Source organism: Homo sapiens, chromosome 3, assembly GCF_000001405.40.
Source record: "Homo sapiens chromosome 3, GRCh38.p14 Primary Assembly".
Classification (NCBI taxonomy): domain Eukaryota; kingdom Metazoa; phylum Chordata; class Mammalia; order Primates; family Hominidae; genus Homo; species Homo sapiens.
Window position 1 is genome coordinate 130609050 of NC_000003.12, and position 25298 is coordinate 130634347.

Consider the following 25298-nt stretch of genomic DNA (forward strand, 5'->3'; position numbering starts at 1 on the left):
ATCTCCCTTGCAGAATTCCATGTTTAAAGTTCTCATGGTAATAAAGTAAGGAAGCAACACAGTTTGGACTCATGCAGCACTTGGTCTGCTTTAAGTTTTGTCCCAGTCAAGAAGTGAAAAGTGAATGAGCAAACTAGGCAGTGGTCCTTGTGTACTGGGTTCAGGGTAAGTAAGATATTCCAGGGAGAGCTTGAGCCAAGGAAAATGTTGAACCTCAGATCTGGGAATTGTGGTCAATTTAGCACAGTAATAGTTCAGTGTTACATATCTTGGTGCTCATGATGTAGAAAAATTGGCTTTACTCTTAGGAAAGAATTGCTCGAAAGACAGCTGGAGACATCAGTGGGGTTATCTGCAGTGCAGCACTCAGCCTGCCCTTGCCAGCTGACTTCTCCAGGGAGCTACCTCCGGCACTTTTTCCTTTGCAAGGAACAAGCCATACTTGGCTGTTTACACTGATCACATGAGGGGTTGCATGAGGGGTCACATGAGGGGCCAGAGAGGGCAAAATTTAGCTAACATATTATGATAAAGGAAAGGAAATCCTAGCAAATACTGAGTTGAAAGAAAGGTCAGACCACAAAAAAGTTAGAACTTTTTTTTTTCCTCTCCAAAGTTAGTTTTGAAAGCTTGAGGAATAAGTGTTCTATTTGGCATAGGCAGGACAATCAACGGCTCTGCTATTTTTCAAACTTTTAATCCACATAGTTAAAAAAAGTAACTATTATATGTTGGCAGCTTTTTGCCTGGAAGTTGGGCAACATATCCTTAAACATCAGAAGGGAAAGTTTGTCCACATTTTGCCAAGATTCAGAGCAGTGCACAGTCTTCCCCTTGGACCTTTATCTCTTCCTAGCTTGATTACTTTTCTTTGTTGTTGCTTTCCAGCTGAGGAAAGCTCACTTTTTTTTTTTTTTTTTTTTTTTAACCTTCAAGCGAGAAATAGTTGCCACTGGGGTTGTGGGGAAGCATTTCAATAGATTGACTGCTTTATTTCATGCTAAGCAAGTAATACTATGGCATCCCTTCTTCCATTTTATAGAAACTTACTTTTTTTAATGGTGTAATTTAAAAGCAGAGGCAAAAACCAAACACAGCATGAAAGTTTCTCTGCATAACATATGAAAGCCACAGCTAATAGGCAGTATAATATTCCAAAAGTAGAAATAGTCAGATTTCATCTTACCACATACCATATCTTGTTTATGACCAGTCTTCAGTGTGGTTATTGAATAGAAAACTTATTTAAATGTTCTGGTTTCAGATGTATATTTGTAAGGAATATTTTTCTTTCTAACAAGAGAAATGTAGGGAAATGTAGAAAGCAATATGGAAAAGCTCAACCATTCAGTATTTTTTTCCAAGCCCCAGTCAGTTTGACTGCAGATCCTCAACTGCCTAAATTTCAGATTGGACATTCATATTCCTGCACAAATGAGAATGAGCTCCACAGGCCAGGATGGAAGGAAAGGCATGATTGGAGCTCTCTTTCCCATTTCTGTCCATGTTACTGACTTAGTATTTCTACTTGTAATATTCAATTTAATATTCAATGTTCTCTTTTAGGCAAAAAATAATGCTTTAATTCTATGTACTTAGGGCCCAAGAGGAGAGGCTGGTGTGAAAGGAGAAAAAGGAGGTGTGGGAAGTAAAGGTCCCCAGGTATGTAATGAGAAAAATGATTGCATCTGACTTTGATCTTGGCTTGATATGTCTTTGTGGTTTCTTCCATACAGGTGGAGTTATTTACTGCTTGTGAACCAGGAACGTGTATTAGGTTTCACTTCAGCTCAATGTGGTGGCCACATCACATCATGGTCCCCATCTTGCAGAGCAGGCTATCACTATCAGACACAGAGGTAGAAAATCTAGCCCTCTTTGCCTCAGCTGCTCAGCTATGTAAATCAGGTCGCATCACTCCCCTGATCTCAATTCTCTTGGGGTTTCCCATCCCCATCCCACCCCCAGAATACAGCCTACTTTAGTAGTCCTCAAACTGGCTAAATATGATAATCTCCTGGGGGAATTCTAAAACATTCCACCACCTAGAACCTTCCCCAGGACACTTAAATCAGAATCTCTGGCAATGAGGCCAGGGTAGCAGTAATTTAACTTCTCCCTAGGAGATCTTAATATAGACCTAGGGTTGGGAATGACTGCTCTGCATTAGCACTCCTCCAGATTCACAGTGCAGAAGAATCCCCTAGAGGGGATTGTTAACTAGAGAACTTGTTAAAGTGCGGATTCTGAGTCAGCAGGTCAAGGGCAAGGCCTGAGATTCTGCACTTCTAGGGCATTCCCAGATGATGCTGATGCTGCTGATCCAGACCACATTTTTAATAGAACGGCCCTACATGATCTGGCCCTCACCTACCTGCTATCATAGTACGTATTATTTGTTTAGCTGTTTGCCTGTCTCTCCTCCTAGATTGCAAGCTCCATAAAAGATAGGACTTTGTCTTATTACACTCTATCCCTAGAGTCCAGAATATCAGTACCTGGCACATAGTAGAGCTCAACACATATTTGAATAATGAATCAAACAGTAAATGAGTGAATGAGACACAGTTGGAAATTGTGTTCTCCACTAACACTAGGGTAAAAGGATTCCATTACGTGTGTACGTTAGTTGAACCAGGCAGTCCAATATGTAAGTGGTTGTGTTTATCACCAGAAAGTTTAAGAAAATTTAAGAGGCTATTTGCATAAACTTGTATCTCATGACACTATTTTTTAATTATAATTTGTATTTTAGGTCTAGGTGTACACGTGCAGGTTGGTTATGCAGGCAAACTGCATGTCATGGGGGTTTGGCATACATATTATTTTGCCACCCAGATAATAAGCATAGTACTAAATAAGTATTTTTTTCCGATCCTTTCCCATCCTTTACTTTCAAGTAGGCCTCAGTGCCTGTTGTTCCCCTCTTTGTGTCCATGTGTTCTTGTTGTTTGGCTCCCACTTATAAGTGAGAACATGTGGTATTTGTTTTTCTGTTCCTGTGGTAGTTTGCTTAGGATAAAGGCCTCCAGCTTCATCTATGTTGCTGCAAAGGACATGATCTTGTTCTTTTTTATGGCTGTATAGTATTCCATGGTATATATTTACTACATTTTCTTTGTCCATTCTAATGTTGTTGGGCATTTAGGTTGATTCCATGTCTTTGCTATTGTGAGTAGTGCTGCAATGAATGTACACATGCATGTGTCTTTATGGTAGGATGATTTATATTCTTTTGGGTAAATAATAATGGGATTGCTGGGTTGAATGGTGATTCTGTTTCCAGTTCTTTGAGGTATCACCACACTGCTTTCCACAATGGCTGAACTAATGTACAGTCCCACCAGGAGTGTGCAAATGTTCTCTTTTCTCTACAACCTCACTAGCATCTGTTATTTTTTGACTTTTAATAATAGCCATTCTGACTGTATCTCACTGTGGTTTTGATTTTAATTTCTCTAATCAGTGATTTTGAGCAGTTTTAAATAATACAAAACTGCGTTTAACACTACAAAAAATATAAGTGTTTGTTGTGCTTCTCTCCCTGGGTTTCATGGGAGGACTGCAGGGCTCCTCTGACCTGTAGCGCAACACAGGGTTGACAGCCTGGGCGTAGGGGATGCCGCTGGATTAAAAAATGAGAATGAGGCCCCTCTGGTGAGGTCTATGTACATGAGGGTGAGAGGTGGGTTACAAGCATGGGGGCATCAGAAAGGGGAGGGTTGTATGGAGTGGGATTGAGCATATTTTCTTATGCCTGCTGGCCATGTATATATCTTCTTTTGAAAATTGTTCATATCCTTTGCACACATTTTAATGTGGTTGTTTTTGGCTTGTAAGTTTGCTTAAGTTCCTTAAGATTCTAGATATCAGACATTTGTTGGATATATAGTTTGCAAATATTTTCTCCCATTCTGTATGTTGTCTGTTTACTCTGTTGATAATTTCTTTTGCTGTGCAGAAGCTCTTTAGCTTAATTGGGTCTGTCAATGTTTGTGTTGCAATCGCCTTTGTCATCTTTCTCATGAAATCCTTGCCAAGTCCTATGTCCAGAATGGTGTTTCCTAGGTTATCCTCCAGGGTTTTTATGCTTCTAGATTTTACATTTAAGTCTTTAATCCATCTTGAGTTGATTTTTGTATATGGTATAAGGAAGGGGCCCAGTTTCAATCTTCTGCATATGGCTAGCCAGTTCTCCCAGTACCATTTATTGAATAGGGAGTCTTTTCCTCATTGCTTGTTTTTGTTGGCTTTGTCAAAGATCAGATAGTTGTAGGTGTGTGGCTCTATTTCTGGGCTCTCTATTCTGTTCCATTGGTCTAGAGTCTGTTTTTATGCCAGTACCATGCTGTTTTGGTTACTATGGCCTTGTAATATAGTTTGAAGTCACATAAGGTGATGCCTTCAGCTTTGTTCTTTTTGCTTAGGATTGTCTTAGCTATTCATATTCTTCTTTGGTTCTGTATAATTTTAAAATAGTTTTTTTCTATTTCTGTGAAGAATGTCATTGGTAGTTTGATGGAAATAGCATTCAATCTGTAAACTGCTTTGGGCAGCATGGCCATTTTAACAACATTGATTCTTCCTGTCCATGAGCATGGAATGTTTTCCTATTTGTGTCATCTCTGCTTTCTTTGAGCAGTGTTTTGTAATTCTCATTTTAGAGATTGTTCACCTTCCTGGTTAGCTGTATTCCTAGATATTTTTATTTTTACATTTTTGTGGCAATTGTGAATGGGATTGCATTCCTGATTTGGCTCTCGGCTTGTATGTTGTTGGTGTATAGGAATGCTACTGATTTTTGTATTTCAATTTTGTATCCTAGAACTTTGCTAAAGTTGTTTATCAGATCAAGGAGCTTTTGGGCAGAGACTACTGGGTTTTTTAGATATAAAATCTTGTCATTTGCAAACAGGGATAGTTTGACTTCCTTTCTTCATATTTGGATGCCTTATATTTCCTTCTCTTGCCTGGTTGCTCTAGCCAGGACTTCCAGTACTATGTTGAATGGGATTGGTGATAGAGGGCATCCCTGTATTCTGGTTTTCAAGGGGAAGGCTTCCAGCTTTTGCCTATTCAGTATGATATTAGCTGTGAGTCATAGATAGCTGTTATTATTTTGATGTACATTCCCTCAATCCCTGGTTTGTTGAGGGTTTTTAACATGAAGGTATATTGAATTGTATCAAAAGCCTTTTCTCCATTTATTGAGATAATCATGTAGTTTTTGTTTTTAGTTCTATTTACATGACGAATCACATTTATTGATTTGTATATGTTGAACCAACCTTGCATCCCAGAGATAAGGCCTACTTGATTGTGGTGAATTAGCTTTTTGATGTGCTACTGGATTCGCTTTGCTAGTATTTTGTTGATGATTTTTACATTTATGTTCAACAAGAATATCAGCCTGAAGTTTTCTTTTTTCGTTGTGTCTCTGCCAGGTTTTGGTATCAGGATGATGCTGGCCTCGTAGAATGAGTTAGGGAGAAGTCCCTCTACCTCACCTTTTAGGAATAGTTTCAGTAGGAATGATATCAGCTCTTCTTTATACATCTGATAGAATTTGGCTTTGAATCTTTCTGGTCCTGGCTGTTTTTTGGTTGGTAGGCTTTTTATTATTGAGTCAACGTTGGAGCTTGTTATTGGTCTGTTCAGGGATTCAATTTCTTTGTGGTTCATTCTTGGGAGGTTGTTTGTGTCCAGGAATTTATCTATTACTTCTGGATCTTCTAGTTTGTGTGCATAGAGGTGTTCATAGTAATCTCTGAGAGGTCTTTTTGTATTTCTGTGGGGTCAGTGGTAATGCCCCCTTTTTCATTTCTCATTGTGTTTATTTGGATCTTCTCTCCTTTTTTTGTATTGGTCTAGCTGACTAGTCTATCTTATTTTGGCAAAGAACAAATTCCTTGATTTGTTGATCTTCTGTATGATTTTCTGTATCTCAGTTTCCTTCAGTTCAGCTCTGATTTTGGTTATTTCTTGTCTTCTGCTAGCTTTGGGGTTGGTTTTCTCTTGCATTTATTGCTATAAACTTCCCTCTTAACACTGCCTTATCTGCGTCCCAGAGATTCTGGTATGTTGTATCTTTGTTCTTATTAGTTTCAAAGAATTTCTTGATGTCTGCCTTAATTTCATTATTTACCCAAAAGTCATTCAGGAGCAGGTTGTTTAACTTCCATGTAATTATATGGTTTTGGGTGATTTTCTTAGCACTAGTTTTTATTTTTATTTCAGTGTGGTCCAAGACTGTGGTTGATATGATTTTGTTTTTTTTCTAATTTGCTGAGGATTGTTTTATTTCTGATTGTGTGGTCAATTTTATGGTATATGCCATGTGGCGATGAGAAGAATGAATATTCTGTTGTTTTGAGATGGAGAGTTCTCTATATGTCTATTAAATCAAGTGTTCAAGTACAGGTTCTGAGTATCTTTGTTAATTTCCTGCCTGCATGATCTGCCTAATACTGTCATGATACTGTTTTAAAGCATGTTAATTATTGCTTGTGAAGATATTTGTTTTTAATTTTGATGAAGGTGCTTCTTCAAAAAGCATAAAAACTTTAAAATGTCATGGTAGAAATAACTTGATGAAAATAACTATTTCGCATTCATATCCTTGAATCAATAAAAGCTTGCTGGTACCATAAATTGAAATTTGTTAAAGATGGAAATGCCAAGAAAAACATATATCATGTGATTATCTCATCTGTTTATATAAAATATGGAGATGTGAGTGGGTGGAAATCCAAAATCTTGGTATTTCTCTTGGTCTAGAATCCAAAATTGCATCCACTGGCTGTGCAGAGCACGTCTGTGAATGAGTACCCTTTAATCTTGCTTTGGCAAGATTGGTCATGGCCATAAATCTTTCAGCCTCTTGGCATTGTCAGAGTTAGTCAGAAGGTACCACTTCTCTCTAGTCTACGTCTACCATTTTTCTGACTGGAAAACATGGTTTTTCTTTCTGTGCTTGGTTTTCTTGAAATACCTTTGTCAGTACAGTGAAAATGCTATTTCAAAGATGTGTACAATTTTTTATGTTTAGGACATGGATGAATGGGGTCACAAAGTTGTTGTGTCCAAAAGAAAGCCACAGAGATGAACACAATCAGATACACAAGAGAGTATTATTCTTCACCGGTTCTATAAATTCCCTGCCATAGGTTTCATATTGTTTTACAGCACACAAGGACCAGCCACTGGAATAGAATAACATGAGTGCTTTGTAATTTCAGGATTTGAAGTTTTTCTTAGGATATACGTTTAAGAAAAGATGTGATTTCTGTTGACAATGTTCTGAAGGCTTATTTAACTGGCATTCTGTATAAATCAAATGTGTGCTAATCCAGCCAAGTATATGACTATGATACAAAAGAATACAGTCCATGGCACAATGAAAAGGAAGAAAGAGCTTTGAAAGGAATGGCATATTCTTTTCTACCTTCCTTCATTCCCCCTTTGGTTTACCTTAAGGTCCTATTTTAATTTAATCAATGCCTGAAAAAAAAAAAAAAAAAAGGATGGAAAATCAGACACAAAAATACAAATTTCAATTGAAGCTGTAATTATTTTTTAAATACTTATGCTTTCTTAGTGAATGAATCACTAGTGGCTTGTACAATATCAAGAAAGTTCGGAGATGTTCAATGCAGTTTGGAGTCCGGAGTAGAATTTCTGTTTTTGTCTTTACAAAGCATAGCACAGTGGTAAATGGTATACGGTCTGGAGCCAGACTGCCTAGCATTGATTCCTAACTTTGTACCTTACTAGCTCTGTGACCTTGGGGAATTTATGTAACCACCTTGTGCTTCAGTTTTTTACTGTAATTATAAGGATGGTAATAGTAGCTACCTCATTGGATTGTTGTGAAAATTAAACCATTTAATGTATGTAGGTGCTTAGAACATTGCCTGCAGTCACAAGCTCTATGTGTTTGTTATTGCTACTATATTGTATCAGTATTACCTAATTTAATGGGAGTATTTTGTGCTCAAAGAATGCAGGTCACCATTCCAAGAAAGGCCATGATAGTAATATAACAATACGTAACCTGTAGTAATCAACAAGTTTCATCATTCTGTATAAGCTAAGTTTGGTGGTCCATTAGCCATTCCTTTTACTCATTTAACAAACATTTACTAAGTGCTGCTTGTGTGTTGGGCCCTATTCTAGGATACAAGGATGAATGAGGTATAGACTCTAGCCTCACGTATACCCAATCTCATAAAGGAGACTCATACAAACAAACAATTGACATGTGACCTGCTGAATGTTAAAAGAGAATTATACTCAATGTAGAGTGATGTGGTAAAGAATGGAGTTAAATGAGATGAGCGTATTTGGTTTTGCTGAATGAGCAGGTGTTTTCCGGGTAACCAAGGAAAGGCAGGCATGCAGAAAGAGGATGGAACCAAGTTACACAGAGATATCAAGGTGAGTTTTGGGAACCACAAATGGCTCAATATGGTTGGAGTGTAGAATGCATGGAGAAGTATTAGAAGTTAAGGTTAAGGACTAGTACTGTCAAGATTGACATCTCAGATGTTTTGGGGTTTGTTCTTGCATTAGCTCACCATTTGATGGCCTCTTGATTTTTGTTTTCTTAGACTTAGCTGATATCTAACTTTTAAAGAAGCTCAGCACTTGATCTCCTTGTTTCTTTCCACCTTGATATTTGTTCATTGTGAGTTTTCATACATTACCCCCACACAAATAAAAACAAGTGACAAGGATTCCTTTTAAGTGTGGGAACACCCTGTACCTCTTCTACCCTGCCTTATCTAATCCAAAGTCAAGGTGTCCTTGGCAATGCCCCAACCATTAAACCTAAACTCCCAAGTGCAATCTCTTCTGATAAGGTGCTAAGCACAATTTTCAAATAATCGTTAACCTCTAAACACTTCTTTCCTATCCTTGCTTAACACTAAAGCAGTTGTGGTTGCCAAGGGCTCTGTAACTAATACTCAACCTGAGGAAAAAAAGTGGGACAATCAAGTCCCACTTTTGGAGGTTTGATGTGGCCCCAGCCTTATGCATCAAGTTTGGAGAGCCACATTTTTTTTAGAACTCCAATCTGGGCTAATGCATAGATGGTAAGAGTTTGGGAATCCTGTCCCACACAAGGGCCTCAGAGCAGCAGGCATAGTGGCTGGGACTTTAGTCTTTAGAGTCAGATACAATTAGGTTCATTTCCCATCTAATCCTCTTATTAACTGAGCAATTTGGATGTAAATGCCTTGAGAAACTGTTTTTGATCAGTAAATGGGGTTAATAACAGGCATCTCACTGTGTTGTAAAAATAGAAGACTATTTACCACTCAGCACAGTGCCTTGCACAAAATATGAATGCTCAATAAAAGGCAGCCATTACATCAAAGCCAAAGAAGATTTGATCTCTAGCTAATGCCCTTCCCCTTTAAATGCCCTAAGCTTCTCTTAACCCTCCATAGCTATTCTTGATCTCAAGTCAACTAAGCTCTTTCATTCTTTGATATCTTTCTGAGGGTGACAATTTTTTTGTCTTTCTTTTAGAAACCACCAGTGTGATTCCTTATCTAACCAGCAGTGTTTGAGTAGGTGATTTATCTGGGTAACCATTCACTGAGGCTTGAGCCTTATTCATCTAAGTCACAAACCTCACTTTGGTACTTTGCAAGATCCTGCATGGGAAACACAATCAGGTTTTCTGATTCTCTAATGGCAAGGTCCTGTATGTATCCAACCATCTACTCATCCAAGACATTTTTTATTTTGAAAGTTCTTAAAACAGGATAATCTCTCATTGTTCTTGTGTGTGTTTGAGGTAACTACACATGAAATAATCTCCCAAAATCATCCTCTGTCTCAGAATTTATGTCTGAATGAAGAATGGAGAGTAGGCTTCTAGACAGATCTTCCAATTTATACATTGCTTTTCAGGACAATTAGAATCTCTCTACTTCTCTGTGCAGTGCATGAAAATTTCATATGGAAAACCAACAAATTAAACACAGTAGTTCATCCCTCTTGAGAATCTTTCCTGGGTAGATAAATGGATGGGTTGATGGGTTCTAGGTATCCTATGATGCGCCAGAGATATGAATTAATAGGACGTGCCCGTTAAAGAAGTATACAGTCTAGTCTCTAAGGAATGAGAAAGAGAAATACACTAACAATTACTTACAGCGTAGAGGAATCGGGGGGACAAGCATGAGACCCAACACAGCTAGGAAGTTTGAGTATTCTTCCTGAAACAGTGATGCTAAAGGTAGGATTTTTCAGAGGAGGGAGATTGTACCTCTCCCTAGAGGGAAAAAAATGGACCAGCTGAGGGAAAAATTTGCATGAGTGTGGAGACGTAAGACAAACATTTGATGAATCACTTGCTTTGATGTGCCTGAACATAAAGCGATGGAAGTAGTCACAGAAAATGAGGCTGCAGAGGCATGCAATTCCAACATTTTGAGGGATTTTGCATATTAAGAAGACCTTAAACTTTATTCTGAAAGATATTCAGAATTTCAGACAAAGTGGTAACATCAGCCTGACATTTTAAATCTCTCTCTAAAAAGGGTGGAGAATGGATTAGAGGAAGACCTGGCTACAGTTAGGAGAGCCAAGAATTTAGGCAGGATGCAAGATGGGCCTGAAGGCAAGTAATGGGAATGGAAGAGGGAGGGGTACAGAAAGTAGACAGATTCTACTGTGGGCCTTGTAGCTGAGGGGTTTTGAGAAGTGAGGTAGTGGAAGGGTCTAGGATAATTCTCAGGTTTCTGGCATGGGTCTCAATGGTAGTAAAGGGTGATACTATTCCTTGATGAAAAGAAAATGAGACTGGAAGCATGATTTAGGGTAAATATGATTGTTTTGAGAATCCATTTCTATTCAATAGGATGTCCAATGGGAATTTTATTTATTTTTTTAGACAGAGTCTCACTCTATCACCCAGGCTGGAGTGCAGTGACACAATTATAGCTAATTGCAGCCTTGAACTTCTGGGCTCAAGTGATCCTCCTGCCTCAGCCTTCCAAGTAGTTGGCACTACAGGTGTGTGCTGCTGTGCCTGGTTAAGTCTTGAGTTTTGTTTTGTTTTTTTTTGGCATAGAGGCTTGCTGTGTTACTCAGCCTTTTAATATATGGCTCTGGTGTTCAGTTGAGTGGTTGGGACTTGAGAGCATGTATTTAGGAGTCATTGTGTAGAAGTGATATGTGAATTCATACGGGTGCCATTCAGGAAGAGGGGATAAAGTGAGAACAATAAGGCCAGAGGATGGAGCCCTGGGGCACACAGAATTTAAGAGGCAAATAGAATAAGGGGAGCCTTCAAAGGTTCATGAGAGGAGCCTAGAGAGGGACCAGGAAGACCATGGTTACTTGGTGTGACAGAAGTTAAGGGAAAAGTTTCAAAGAACACATGATCAAACTCAAAAAAGGTGAGGGCAAAAAAGTGTCAACTGGACTGAACATGAAAGTCAAAGGAGTTAGCTCCATGTAGTGGTGGAAGTGAAAGTTAGAAGGGAATGGGTTGAGAGCTATCTATGGAGGGTGACAATATTGAGAATTTTCTTTAAAGATGAAGGAAGGGGGAGAGATAGGGTATTATGGAAAGATTCTTATCTTTGTTAGTAACCAATTTATTGTTCAACAATCCTTCCTATTAGGAAATTTTTTATGTCCAATGTATTGCTTTTTAAATTTTTTAAAAGATGAAAATGTTAATGTTACAATATTTTTGTTCTGAACGAAATAAATTTGCAAGTGTCATGCTCATTACGCAAAGGCTGGTTTATTTACTTTTAAATTACAACAACCATGACGAAAAAATTGTGCAAATGATTTCAGCTCACTGGGGTTGGGATTATTTACAAATACCTGTAAACAGTTGTACCAAAAGAGATTTCTCTTTCCATATGTTTAGATATCCCAAAGGAAAAATCTGATTCCAAGTGTTAATAACAGAGGAAGGTAGTTGTGTCATCTCTGAATTGGTATTTTAAAATGTTCAGTCTAAAGTTGTTCCAATGAAACATGCCTTCTAGAATGTTGGAAGGACTTACTTCCATTATATCTGATAGCTTTTCCATATAGATAGGTGTTATATTTATCATCTGTTTAAGTTTTGCTATGTTCTTCAATAAGATCTTAAGGCTTTCTTTCTTTAGGTTTTGCATCTTTCTTGATAAATTTATTCTAAGCATTTTACAGTTTTTTTCTTCTTTTGGTAAGTGGGAATTTATTTACATTTACTTTTCTAACTTATCACTAGGAAAGAGAAAATTATTTCAGAATATTTATCTTATGCTACCTAAACATATCTTATGAACACTGTTTTAGTAAAGTTTCTTAAGCTTTCTAATATACATATCATATGATTTTCCAATAAAGATCATTTTGTCTTCCAAAAAATGTTTTCTACCAAAGCCAGTCCTTTCTACCAAAGGACAAGAAGGATTATAGTTCAAGGCAAATGTCATTTGGAATGGCTTCTTTAAGTGTTAGGCATTTTAACAACATCTGTTCTTAGAGCAAAACAACCTGAAATCACTTTGGAAGAGAAAACTCACAAGGAAGCACAATTCTTTAGACAACATCTGGCATGAATTACTTTATTAATTTTCTTTTATTTACCAGTCTTTATTTGATGGTGGCAATACTTTTTTCCAGAGCAAGGATCGATACAGCCATAACTCTTCTCTCGTCTGTGGTTCACTTTCCTCTTATAAGACAGAGGGTTTGAAGAAAAGTTGCTTTATGTTTTGCTATATTTGCAAACCCCTTGTTTTGTTTCAGGGGCCTCCAGGACCCGGAGGAGAGGCAGGGAATCAAGGCCGTTTGGGAAGCCAAGGAAATAAAGTAGGTCACATTCTTTATACTCACCAAAGTTGAGGTTTTCTGCTCAAGAGAACTGTGTCTAATTGTATTAGCCAGGGCCCTTTCAACACAAACAAGAACACATTTTCTGGTCCTTAAACCCTGGCTTGATTCTTAGAGAGCCAACAACCTCTAAGGACATGGGTGTGGACCTGGATGAAATCAGGGATTCCAGCTCAGTGTAATTTAAGAGGGGAGGGATACACCCTATTGGAGCTGAGGGATCTCAGGGAACAAGGGATATTCTGGGGCAGGCCTTCCTTTCTCTCTTCCAATCTCTCTTAATTTCCTCCCCCCGCCTACCCCCCCCTTTTTTTTTTTCCTTTCCTCCATTCACACAAACTTTTGGTAAGCACCTTTTAAGACCAAGGCACTGTACTGAGCGTTCGGTTGGGCTGAAGAATCAGCTCCAGGAGAGACATCTTTGTTTTGGTCATTGATTCCATCCTCCATGCTTAGAACAGTGCCTGGCATGTAATATGTGATTAGTAAATATTGAATAAATGAATCTGTGGGTGGCATAATATATATGACATGAAACCAACCCCAAAGAATATTTTCATAACAATCTATGACATAAAATAAAGATAAGGGGCTAAAATGGAGTTTTAAATGGCATTATTAGAAGTATTTCTGGGATGCAAAAAGAGGCATCATAGAAAATACAGACTTTGAGCCGGGCGTGGTGGCTCACGCCTGTAATCCTAGCACTTTGGGAGGCCGAGGTGGGCAGATCACGAGGTCAGGAGATCGAGACCATCCTGGCTAACATGGTGAAACCCCATCTCTACTAAAAATTCAAAAATTTAGCCGGGCGAGGTGGCGGGCACCTGTAGTCCCAGCTACTCAGGAGGCTGAGGCAGGAGAATGGTGTGAATCCGGGAGGCAGAGTTTGCAGTGAGCTGAGATCGCACCACCGCACTCCAGCCTGGGCGACAGAGCGAGACTCTGTCTCAAAGAAAAGAAAATACAGACTTTAAGCAGGACTTAGAAGATAAAAATTTTGGCAAGCAGAGAAGGGAATGGGGGGACTGTAATGAGAAAAAGCGGTGTGAAGGAAGGCACAAGGTTGGAAAATCCTGAGAGAAGAGGAGGTATCTAGGCATGAAAAATGATCCTGTCTGGCAGGCCAAAAACAACAAGAAAGCCTGTGGTGAATCTATTCAGTGGCCAGCACGGTGTTATCTAAAACTTTTGAATGGAGTGGATGAACACAGCCAGACTTTTGGAAGATTTTAAATAGGCAACTCAGTGTAGAAATATTATGAAGCTTAGGCTGTGCATGGTGGCTCACCCCTGTAATCCCAGCACTTTGGGAAGCCGAGCCAGGTGGATCACTTGAGGTCGGGAGTTCCAGACCAGCCTGGCCAACATGGTGAAACCCTGTCTCTACTAAAAATACAAAAATTAGCCAGGTGTGGTGGCACATGCCTGTAATCCCAGCTACTCGGGAGGCTAAGACAGAGAGAATTGCTTGAATCCAGGAGGTGGAGGTTGTAATGAGCCAAGATCCTGCCACTGCACTCCAGCCTGGGTGACAGAGTAAGACTCCATCTCAAATAAATAAATATTATGAAGTCTGAGAGAATGAAAGCTAGGAGAACAGTTGGTACACTCTTATAGTCTCCAAGGCAAATAGTGATTAGGTGACTTAACGGGGTGAGGACTTAACTTGTGATGATTCCATAGAACTCTTCCAATAGGGGACTGATGCAGAGAGGAGTGGGCTAGATGACTTGGGGGCTTCGTGTATGAGGGGTAACCCTATCACAGACATAGGAAAGTCATTAGGAAGAGTGGGTTTAAGAGGAAAGAAAATCACTTGGGGGATAGAGGAAAGGGTTTAGGTCTGGTTGGAGATGTAAATTTCAGAGTCATTTGGATTAAAAATAACTCTTGGTGATGCCTCTTTGTAAGAAGTCCAAGAGGAAACAAGACAATGAATTATTAGGAAGGAAGGAAAATCAACAAAAAAGCACACTGGATTTTGAGTAGAGTTCAAGAAGGGAGGTGAAGAGTACCAACTGGTAAAGAAAAGTTAAGGAGGGGAGGAGTGGAGAAGCCATGATATCTGGTGGCTAAGACATTCTAAAGAACAGTTTCAAAAGTGTAGCAATTGAGAGGAGAGAAAGGGAGACAGGACTGCAAAGGACCGAGAAATGTGCGAGGAGAAAATGGATAAAAAGCTGTAAACTACTCTTTGGAAAACCTAGGCCTTTAAGGGGAAGAAGAAGACATTAACTACTCATACTGGCAAGGTCTAGGAAAGGTTGATGTGGGATATTGGTTTGTTTTTAATGACAGGAGAGACCAGCATGTTTATAATCAGAGGAGAAAGCCAGGGAGAAAAGAGGAGATTGAAAATGTAAGAAAGAGTAGACAGAGTAGATGATTAACGGAGAAATTTGGCAAAGAGGATGAGCTTGAGGGCCTGAGAAAAGGGGTTAACTTTGTACTGAAGAATTGTTCAAGGCTGATATGATGGAGTCCAGCAGTTGAATGTTGCAAAGACAGTTAATTGGAGGATGTAACAAGATAATGGGGATGACAAGAAGTCAACTGCAAAAGGAAGGGACTTCTATGGCATGTAGTGTAGCAATATATGGCATGTAATCGGGAAATCAAAGTTTGGAACAAAGACAATGCTGCCTTCTTGTCCCTGAAGAAGGCTCTAGGGGAAGTGGTGTCACTGGTAAAAATCAAGTTTATCTTACCAAGGATAGACATAGATAAAGGGACCCTAGAGTTGGATAGAGGTGGCCGTGGGGAAGTAGATAAACAGGAGCAGGGCAGTTGTGCCTTAGAAGATCATTATTAATACAAAAGACTTGGTCAGGGGTCGGGGGCAGGTCAAGAATTTAGATGGCAAGTGCCCCAAAGAAAACCCAAATCCTCTGTATTGCCCCAGGGTGGACTGGGCACTCTAGACTCATGATTCACTGAGATAAACCTCAAACACTTACCCCTACCTTACTCCAGTAAGTTCACATTTCCAGGAGGCAAGCAACCTGGCAGTTAATCCTGGGCTTAACACTTGACTCTACCAATAACCAAGCATGTGGCCCTAGAAAAGCCATATGACTTTCCTTGTTTCCTTACCATAAGGCAGATGTTCTTAAATTTTAGTGTGCATATGAATCAGCTGAGAAGCTTATGTAAAAGCACATATTGTTGGGTTCCACTTACCAGAGTCTAATCCAATGGGATCCAAGAATTTTCTTGACACATGAACCCTGGATGTGGCTGTGGTCCCCACAGCACACTTTGAGAACCGCTGTCCTAAAAGGCATCAAGGCAGATGATCTCCTGCTTCCCTTATATAGAATCCTATTCTTCGTTACCCCAGAGTTCAGTGCTGGTGGTCACTTGTCCATTTTCCCTTATGTTGGTTTTCTGTCCTTAAAAAAGATGTGATGATTCCCCACCTTTTAAGTGTAGGTTGCACATACTTTCACACTTTCTTCCAAAGAGTACAGTAGAGAAGGGGAGGGAGATGGAGAGTAACTTGGCATTAGGGAAACTTGACTGCCATTATCTCAACCAGAAGATCAAGGTTAACATCAACACTGATGTCATGTTGATTGTATATACCCTTAATATGATGTGATGAGAATGGCCTTTTACCTGTGTAATGTTCCTCCCCCAAACCCATAAGCCCAGTCTAATCAGAAAAACAGCAATGGGGGACTTTCTACAGACTGCCTGGCCAATACTTCTCAAAATGGTCAAGGTTATCAAAAAGTCTGAGAAACTGTCCCAGTCTAAAGGAGCCTACGGAGACATACCATGTGGATCCTGGATGGGATCCTGGAACAGGAAAGGAATATCAGGTTAAAAAGAAAAAATCTGAATAAAGTATGGGCTTTAGTTAATAATAATAAATCAGTATTGATTCGGTTGTGACAAATGTACCCTACAAATGCAACTAGTGTAATGTAATGTTAAAAATAGGGGCAAATTGATGTGGACATACAGGAACTTTCCATATTATGTTCACAACATTTCTGTAAATTTAAAACTATTCCAAAATTAAAATTGTTACCTTTTTTTAAAAAGGAGTTAACTTTCCTCTGTAAACCTGTGTTGATTTCCCATGTAGCTGAACTTTCCTCAACATAATACTGAGATTGATTAATAACACACAGTAGATGTTCTACTAGTCAGAAGTTAGAAACTATTGCCAGGATATCATGCTCCCTTGGTTAACTTGATTCTCCCTCAGAATATTAAAACTAGATTAATCAATCTGCCATCTTTGCAGAGGCCAGATGATTTGCATGAATCATCCTGGAAACGATTTTGTTAATTTTTTTAAAACAGTATAGAGCTTTTCTCTTGACTCATTTTCATGGCATTGAGCTGCTAAGATGGCAACTTGCCCTAAACAATAAATCATGCTTGCTGAGGCTTCACTGATCAATGGAGGACACCTCCCTGGCCAACAACAGCAGTTCCTCTTGTATCACTTGCACGACACACAGTTCTGGGCACAAACCCATTGTTGTGTGTGATCCACACAGATGAGCTGAATTAGTGCCATCATTTCCAATTTCCAACCTAAAAACAATCTTTCTGTTTAACAGGGAGAACCTGGAGATCTGGGAGAAAAAGGAGCTGTTGGCTTTCCTGGTCCTCGTGGCTTGCAGGTTTGTATTTTGACACTAGTTTTGATCGGATTCTTGGAATCTTTTAGTTCAGTAGACATCTGGTGTGGTTCTCTGAAGAGAGTTTTAAGGATACAATCCTCATGAAGTTTTATAGTTTTATAGAAATTAGGAGGGATATTGTCTTCATCTTAGTTCCTTGGCCAGCTTTCCCAAGGTGGCAATTCCCCAGGTGCCAAACATCATGGCCAGAATGCTTTTGAAGCCAAATAGTAAAATGAACAAAACTTGTCTTCAGCAATCCCGTAACCCTTTTTCCAGCCTTTCCTTTTATCAGAGCCTCTTCGTCAGAAACCCATTCCATCCTTCCCCCACTGCTCAGGGTTTCTACAAGGGTCAGACAGTAGCCAATACTGGGGCATTTACTAGTTGTTTTTGTCTAGCAAACTGAAAATGGTATTAAAATAGAAGTGTTATCAGGGAGAGGTAATACTATTATCTCCTCTTATTGAAAGATTATTATATGCCTGATTTTTTGTTCATTTAATCCTCATGACAACCCATGAGTAGGTATAATTATTATTCCCAGCTTACAGATGGGAATACCTAGGGACAGTGCATTGTCTGTATCTGTTACTAACAATTGCCTTTAGTACTACTATCATAAAATGTTGGTGGCCTGCCCTAGAAGGAGGATCCTGTGTCCTGCTTTTCCTTTATCAAACCAAAAAGCTGGCAATGTTGTCCTCTTGAAGAATAAGCCTGTCTCTATCTGTAGTCTGGGATGTTGGTAATCAATTGCTCTGTTTACAGGGCAATGATGGCAGTCCAGGTTATGGTAGTGTCGGACGCAAGGGAGCAAAGGTAAGTCAAGTCTGCTGGAAGCTGGACGTTTTCCATTTATTTTTTGTTGCTGGTTTTGTTTGCCACATTTAAGAGAAAAAGGGAAGCAGGGAATAAGGCAATCTTGGACAGTTAGAAATATATTTCAGTAATTTATTTGCTGCTATCCCATGAGGAATGTGATAGAAAAGAATGTGATGGTTTAAGGTGCAGGCAACAAGTGAAACTTGAAAATAAATTTTCTGTTTTCTGCAGTGATATGCGGCCCTAGTCTGACTTGTTCCAGCCTGAACAGTGCATGTAATCTTAGCCACTCCAGGCTCAAGTTTACTCAGGGAAGCATTCCAAAATCAGTCCTCTTATTATTATGTTTGATTTAGCCAGTAATGAGAGGTTGTGCAGGAGTTTTCTAAATGTACTGGCCCAAGCAATAACTTAAAAATAAAACTGTATATCAGAAGAGTAATTTGATATTGTCACTGAATATTTAGGTGGCTGGAACTGAGGGATAAGTTTACCAAGACCAGTGATTTCTGTATACTAGCAATCACCACTAAGAAGTCAGAATGAAAAAGATCCCACCATAATTACAAAATACAAAAAACATAATATAGTTAAGGATATCATGTCTGCAAAATGTTTGAGACCTGTAACAGTGAATTGCTGAGACAGAAAAGAGAACTTCAATAAATGGAGAGGCATTCCAAGATCTTGTTGGAAAGTCTAAAATATTGAAGGATGAACATAATTCCAAGTGAAATCCCAACGGGAATAATGCAAGAGGCCATCTGGAAGAATAAAGGACCAAAAACTAGAACTATTTGAAAAATAAAACTAATGAATGAGGGATTTCCAGTGAAATGTTCATTAGAACAGAGAACAGTTAATATTCCATAATATAATCCCTTAACATCTTACAAGAAGGGAAATATTAAGTAGCCTATGGCATTGGAACATTAGCCACCCTATAAAATGAATGTATATGAAGTTTATAATTATGTAAATAAATTTTTATGTGACACTTTCAAGTAAAAATTTAGAATATACTCAGAAAAACATTTATCCCAATTGTGTTACATTGCATTTTTAAAAGCTAAAAGGAAATAACAAAATGTATATAATCTTTCTGGGCAGTAAGATTTTGGTGATTTTTCTTCTTTCTATTTTTTGATTTTATACATGTTTGAGGATTTATTATAATCAGGAAATGAGCTTTATTTTAAATTAATTATATACTTTTTTATCCAGTAGGGATTATTATATCTCTTCAATTATAGTCTTTGAACAAAGTAAGGTAAACAGAGGACCCTAAAATGAATGATCAAGTTTAGACTCTCCATAGGCTTTCCAAATTTCTCCAATGAAATCCATTTTAAGATCGTGTCGAAGATGGCCGAATAGGAACAGCTCCGGTCTACAGCTCCCTGCGTGAGCGACGCAGAAGACGGTGATTTCTGCATTTCCATCTGAGACCTGCAGCTGAGGGTCCTGTCTGTTAGAAGGAAAACTAACAACCAGAAAGGACATCTACACCGAAAACCCATCTGTACATCACCATCATCAAAGACCAAAAGTAGATAAAACCACAAAGATGGGGAAAAAACAGAACAGAAAAACTGGAAACTCTAAAACACAGAGCGCCTCTCCTCCTCCAAAGGAACGCAGTTCCTCACCAGCAACAGAACAAAGCTGGATGGAGAATGATTTTGACGAGCTGAGAGAAGAAGGCTTCAGACGATCAAATTACTCTGAGCTACGGGAGGACATTCAAACCAAAGGCAAAGAAGTTGAAAACTTTGAAAAAAATTTAGAAGAATGTATAACTAGAATAACCAATACAGAGAAGTGCTTAAAGGAGCTGATGGAGCTGAAAACCAAGGCTCGAGAACTACGTGAAGAATGCAGAAGCCTCAGGAGCCGATGCGATCAACTGGAAGAAAGGGTATCAGCAATGGAAGATGAAATGAATGAAATGAAGCGAGAAGGGAAGTTTAGAGAAAAAAGAATAAAAAGAAATGAGCAAAGCCTCCAAGAAATATGGGACTATGTGAAAAGACCAAATCTACGTCTGATTGGTGTACCTGAAAGTGATGTGGAGAATGGAACCAAGTTGGAAAACACTCTGCAGGATATTATCCAGGAGAACTTCCCCAATCTAGCAAGGCAGGCCAACGTTCAGATTCAGGAAATACAGAGAACGCCACAAAGATACTCCTCGAGAAGAGCAACTCCAAGACACATAATTGTCAGATTCACCAAAGTTGAAATGAAGGAAAAAATGTTAAGGGCAGCCAGAGAGAAAGGTCGGGTTACCCTCAAAGGAAAGCCCATCAGACTAACAGCGGATCTCTCGGCAGAAACCCTACAAGCCAGAAGAGAGTGGGGGCCAATATTCAACATTCTTAAAGAAAAGAATTTTCAACCCAGAATTTCATATCCAGCCAAACTAAGCTTCATAAGTGAAGGAGAAATAAAATACTTTATAGACAAGCAAATGTTGAGAGATTTTGTCACCACCACGCCTGCCCTAAAAGAGCTCCTGAAGGAAGCACTAAACATGGAAAGGAACAACCGGTACCAGCCGCTGCAAAATCATGCCAAAATGTAAAGACCATCGAGACTAGGAAGAAACTGCATCAACTAATGAGCAAAATCACCAGCTAACATCATAATGACAGGATCAAATTCACACATAACAATATTAACTTTAAATATAAATGGACTAAATTCTGCAATTAAAAGACACAGACTGGCAAGTTGGATAAAGAGTCAAGACCCATCAGTGTGCTGTATTCAGGAAACCCATCTCACGTGCAGAGACACACATAGGCTCAAAATAAAAGGATGGAGGAAGATCTACCAAGCCAATGGAAAACAAAAAAAGGCAGGGGTTGCAATCCTAGTCTCTGATAAAACAGACTTTAAACCAACAAAGATCAAAAGAGACAAAGAAGGCCATTACATAATGGTAAAGGGATCAATTCAACAAGAGGAGCTAACTATCCTAAATATTTATGCACCCAATACAGGAGCACCCAGATTCATAAAGCAAGTCCTCAGTGACCTACAAAGAGACTTAGACTCCCACACATTAATAATGGGAGACTTTAACACCCCACTGTCAACATTAGACAGATCAACAAGACAGAAAGTCAACAAGGATACCCAGGAATTGAACTCAGCTCTGCACCAAGCAGACCTAATAGACATCTACAGAACTCTCCACCCCAAATCAACAGAATATACATTTTTTTCAGCACCACACCACACCTATTCCAAAATTGACCACATAGTTGGAAGTAAAGCTCTCCTCAGCAAATGTAAAAGAACAGAAATTATAACAAACTATCTCTCAGACCACAGTGCAATCAAACTAGAACTCAGGATTAAGAATCTCACTCAAAGCCGCTCAACTACATGGAAACTGAACAACCTGCTCCTGAATGACTACTGGGTACATAACGAAATGAAGGCAGAAATAAAGATGTTCTTTGAAACCAACGAGAACAAAGACACCACATACCAGAATCTCTGGGACGCATTCAAAGCAGTGTGTAGAGGGAAATTTATAGCACTAAATGCCTACCAGAGAAAGCAGGAAAGATCCAAAATTGACACCCTAACATCACAATTAAAAGAACTAGAAAAGCAAGAGCAAACACATTCAAAAGCTAGCAGAAGGCAAGAAATAACTAAAATCAGAGCAGAACTGAAGGAAATAGAGACACAAAAAACCCTTCAAAAAATCAATGAATCCAGGAGCTGGTTTTTTGAAAGGATCAACAAAATTGATAGACCGCTAGCAAGACTAATAAAGAAAAAAAGAGAGAAGAATCAAATAGACACAATAAAAAATGATAAAGGGGATATCACCACCGATCCCACAGAAATACAAACTACCATCAGAGAATACTACAAACACCTCTATGCAAATAAACTAGAAAATCTGGAAGAAACGGATACATTCCTCGACACATACACTCTCCCAAGACTAAACCAGGAAGAAGTTGAATCTCTGAATCGACCAATAACAGGCTCTGAAATTGTGGCAATAATCAATAGTTTACCAACCAAAAAGAGTCCAGGACCAGATGGATTCACAGCCGAATTCTACCAGAGGTACAAGGAGGAACTGGTACCATTCCTTCTGAAACTATTCCAATCAATAGAAAAAGAGGGAATCCTCCCTAACTCATTTTATGAGGCCAGCATCATTCTGATACCAAAGCCGGGCAGAGACACAACCAAAAAAGAGAATTTTAGACCAATATCCTTGATGAACATTGATGCAAAAATCCTCAATAAAATACTGGCAAACCGAATCCAGCAGCACATCAAAAAGCTTATCCACCATGATCAAGTGGGCTTCATCCCTGGGATGCAAGGCTGGTTCAATATACGCAAATCAATAAATGTAATCCAGCATATAAACAGAGCCAAAGACAAAAACCACATGATTATCTCAATAGATGCAGAAAAAGCCTTTGACAAAATTCAACAACCCTTCATGCTAAAAACTCTCAATAAATTAGGTATTGATGGGACGTATTTCAAAATAATAAGAGCTATCTATGACAAACCCACAGCCAATATCATACTGAATGGGCAAAAACTGGAAGCATTCCCTTTGAAAACTGGCACAAGACAGGGATGCCCTCTCTCACCGCTCCTATTCAACATAGTGTTGGAAGTTCTGGCCAGGGCAATCAGGCAGGAGAAGGAAATAAAGGGTATTCAATTAGGAAAAGAGGAAGTCAAATTGTCCCTGTTTGCAGACGACATGATTGTTTATCTAGAAAACCCCATCGTCTCAGCCCAAAATCTCCTTAAGCTGATAAGCAACTTCAGCAAAGTCTCAGGATACAAAATCAATGTACAAAAATCACAAGCATTCTTATACACCAACAACAGACAAACAGAGAGCCAAATCATGAGTGAACTCCCATTCACAATTGCTTCAAAGAGAATAAAATACCTAGGAATCCAACTTACAAGGGATGTGAAGGACCTCTTCAAGGAGAACTACAAACCACTGCTCAAGGAAATAAAAGAGGAGACAAACAAATGGAAGAACATTCCATGCTCATGGGTAGGAAGAATCAATATCGTGAAAATGGCCATACTGCCCAAGGTAATTTACAGATTCAATGCCATCCCCATCAAGCTACCAATGACTTTCTTCACAGAATTGGAAAAAACTACTTTAAAGTTCATATGGAACCAAAAAAGAGCCCGCATTGCCAAGTCAATCCTAAGCCAAAAGAACAAAGCTGGAGGCATCACACTACCTGACTTCAAACTATACTACAAGGCTACAGTAACCAAAACAGCATGGTACTGGTACCAAAACAGAGATATAGATCAATGGAACAGAACAGAGCCCTCAGAAATAATGCCGCATATCTACAACTATCTGATCTTTGACAAACCTGAGAAAAACAAGCAATGGGGAAAGGATTCCCTGTTTAATAAATGGTGCTGGGAAAACTGGCTAGCCATATGTAGAAAGCTGAAACTGGATCCCTTCCTTACACCTTATACAAAAATCAATTCAAGATGGATTAAAGATTTAAACGTTAAACCTAAAACCATAAAAACCCTAGAAGAAAACCTAGGCATTACCATTCAGGACATAGGCGTGGGCAAGGACTTCATGTCCAAAACACCAAAAGCAATGGCAACAAAAGACAAAATTGACAAATGGGATCTAATTAAACTAAAGAGCTTCTGCACAGCAAAAGAAACTACCATCAGAGTGAACAGGCAACCTACAACATGGGAGAAAATTTTTGCAACCTACTCATCTGACAAAGGGCTAATATCCAGAATCTACAATGAACTCAAACAAATTTACAAGAAAAAAACAAACAACCCCATCAAAAAGTGGGCGAAGGACATGAACAGACACTTCTCAAAAGAAGACATTTATGCAGCCAAAAAACACATGAAGAAATGCTCATCATCACTGGCCATCAGAGAAATGCAAATCAAAACCACTATGAGATATCATCTCACACCAGTTAGAATGGCAATCATTAAAAAGTCAGGAAACAACAGGTGCTGGAGAGGATGCGGAGAAATAGGAACACTTTTACACTGTTGGTGGGACTGTAAACTAGTTCAACCATTGTGGAAGTCAGTGTGGCGATTCCTCAGGGATCTAGAACTAGAAATACCATTTGACCCAGCCATCCCATTACTGGGTATATACCCAAATGAGTATAAATCATGCTGCTATAAAGACACATGCACACGTATGTTTATTGCGGCACTATTCACAATAGCAAAGACTTGGAACCAACCCAAATGTCCAACAATGATAGACTGGATTAAGAAAATGTGGCACATATACACCATGGAATACTATGCAGCCATAAAAAATGATGAGTTCATATCCTTTGTAGGGACATGGATGAAATTGGAAACCATCATTCTCAGTAAACTATCGCAAGAACAAAAAACCAAACACCGCATATTCTCACTCATAGGTGGGAATTGAACAATGAGATCACATGGACACAGGAAGGGGAATATCACACTCTGGGGACTGTGGTGGGGTCGGGGGAGGGGGGAGGGATAGCATTGGGAGATATACCTAATGCTAGATGACACATTAGTGGGTGCAGCGCACCAGCATGGCACATGTATACATATGTAACTAACCTGCACAATGTGCACATGTACCCTAAAACTTAGAGTATAATAAAAAAAAAAAAAAAAAAAAAAAATGCCAGTTACATTCTAAATCCCTGTAGCAGCATTTCAGGGAAACAGTTTGTCAATATTACTTTCCTTTGTCAAATCCGTGAAATAGCAGTTGATTTCTTAAAATAAATCTCAAGCTATAAAATGTTAAAAAAAAAAATAAATAAATAAATAAATAAATAAATAAATAAAAAAAAAAAAAAAAAAAAAAAAGATCGTGTCAGAGACACATGGCCAAATGACCACCTATGCGGTTATATGCATACAAAAGAAGGAAAGCCGAATTGTAACTCT

At 38.9% G+C, this 25298-nt stretch overlaps 1 protein-coding gene across 16 annotated transcripts in view; it reads left to right on the forward strand.

Moving 5' to 3' along the window:
* The window catches only part of COL6A6 (collagen type VI alpha 6 chain), a 160323-nt gene that overhangs the window by 92330 nt on the left and 42695 nt on the right, over positions 1–25298 (forward strand). For 15 of the 16 annotated variants that reach the window (XR_924103.3, XM_017005713.3, XM_017005711.3 and 12 more), the window contains 4 exons: positions 1600–1662; positions 12772–12834; positions 17436–17498; positions 18270–18320. Coding sequence is in view for 15 of the 16 variants with exons in the window: in XM_017005713.3 (XP_016861202.1) it covers positions 1600–1662; positions 12772–12834; positions 17436–17498; positions 18270–18320 (240 nt within the window). In the remaining variant the exon portion in view is untranslated. Of the gene's footprint in view, positions 1–1599; positions 1663–12771; positions 12835–17435; positions 17499–18269; positions 18321–19547; positions 22124–25298 lie in introns of those variants that run through there. The other variant, XM_011512432.3, reaches the window with a different exon arrangement.